Here is a 1,924-nt window from a genome sequence, read left to right on the forward strand (position 1 = left end):
CAATAAAATACTCCTTGGGCAGTGTTCATTTTGAGACTCTTCAAGACACCTGCTTTTCTTCTTTTTTTTTTTTTTTTTTTTGTTTACAATTGTCTTCTAAGTCCATATCTAAAACTCTTTGGGCTAGAGCCCAAGGTCTCTCAAATCAGCCTGCTCCAACTCACCACTTTAACACTACTATGTTTCGGTTTCCTCAACAGTATAAGATAATAATAGTACCTATCCTATCTCATGAGGTAAATTTCTTAGACCAGTGAAAGCTCATCATACAGTAAGTGGCTATTATTATTATTATAAAAGTGAAATATACTCCACTTAACATTTGCAACTCCATCAGTCCATCAGAATGGCAAACTGCCTACATGAGTGATTCTGTTTCATGATACCCATTGTTAGAAAATCACTACGTATGCATGCCAATGTCATAGGCAAGAGAACAGGCCATACATAGACGATCTCTAAGGTGATTTCTGCATGACCGTCGTTACTGGAAGTTGAGTGGCAGAACATTATTCTGTCTCATAGAGAAACTTGGTTTGGGGGTTTCCCATAAACTAGAGTAGTAACTAGTTGATTCCATACCCAATCGAGTTTCAGTCCTCTCAGATGTGTTTGAATGCAGAGTCCCTTATTATTTTTTAATCTTGGGTTTCTTCTTCTTTATTCCAGCCACCCCCAGTAGATGTCCCCACGTATAGGGAAGTACTTGAAGAAGACTAACAGAAGCCATCTCTGCAGGGGACACATCAAAATGATTCCCTGTCCATTAGCTAGAAACTTGCTGAGCTGATTGAACCCCACAAAGTTTTCAGATCATTGTTCCTCCCCTTCCTCCTGTGTGCAGTCACTCAAAACAAGGACCTCTGTGTGCACTGGCATTCAGTGACAGTTTTGTTATCAGGTTCAAGCAGTACTGCTGAGGATCAAAACTTTACCTTAATTTAAGCTCATGTTTTCCACAAACCCAACTCCAAAGTATCCTGGTAACATGCTTCAAAGATACTCCATCGAATTTTTACTTTCACAGCAATATGCCTTATGACCTAATTACCATTATTATTCTGATCCAAAATAAGACAAATTGCTTTATTTGGTAATAGAGAGGGAAAAAAATCTGAGCTAGAAAGACCTCCTGACATGTCATAGCAATAAATTGAAAGAAAATAGCCATGCTCCCCTGAAGAAGATAGAGATCAGCAGAAATCTTTTGTAATGGGCAATATACGATGTGGAAGAATTCTCTTTAACTTTTTTTTTTTTTTTTTTTTTTTTTGAGACGGAGTCTTGCTCTGTCGCCCAGGCTGGAGTGCAGTGGCGGGATCTCAGCTCACTGCAAGCTCCGCCTCCCGGGTTCACCCCATTCTCCTGCCTCAGCCTCCCAAGTAGCTGGGACTACAGGCGCCCGCCACTACGCCCGGCTAATTTTTTGTATTTTTAGTAGAGACGGGGTTTCACCGTTTTAGCCGGGATGGTCTCTATCTCCTGACCTCGTGATCCGCCCGCCTCGGCCTCCCAAAGTGCTGGGATTACAGGCGTGAGCCACCGCGCCCGGCCCTCTTTAACTTTTTATCCATTTTGTTTGTTTGTTTTGGAGACAGAGTCTTGCTCTGTTGCCCAGGCTGGAGTGCAGTGGTGCAGTCTCAGCTCACTGCAACCTCAAATTCCTGGGCTCAAGTGATCCTCTCCACTCAGCATCCCGAGTAGCTGGGACTACAGGCATACGTCACCATGCCCAGCTAATTTTTAAATTTTGTAGAGATGGGGTCTCCTTATGTTGCCCAAGCTGCTCTCAGGCTCCCAGCCTTAAGTGATCTCCCCACCTCAGTCTCCCAAAGTGCTGGGATTACAGGCATGAGCTCTAATTTTTTATTATAATAAACTTCTAGAGCTCCAAGAATCACACCCTTGCTTGTGACAGGTTGGA

At 42.9% G+C, this 1,924-nt stretch overlaps 1 annotated feature.

Moving 5' to 3' along the window:
* Positions 380-539: an enhancer, noted in NCBI's record as "active region_16765". NCBI's record gives its function as "activates an Ori minimal core promoter by ATAC-STARR-seq in GM12878 lymphoblastoid cells {active_cell/tissue: GM12878}" and the evidence as "EXISTENCE:reporter gene assay evidence [ECO:0000049][PMID:35858748]".

This window comes from Homo sapiens, chromosome 2, assembly GCF_000001405.40.
Source record: "Homo sapiens chromosome 2, GRCh38.p14 Primary Assembly".
In the NCBI taxonomy this organism is placed as follows: Eukaryota; Metazoa; Chordata; class Mammalia; order Primates; family Hominidae; genus Homo; species Homo sapiens.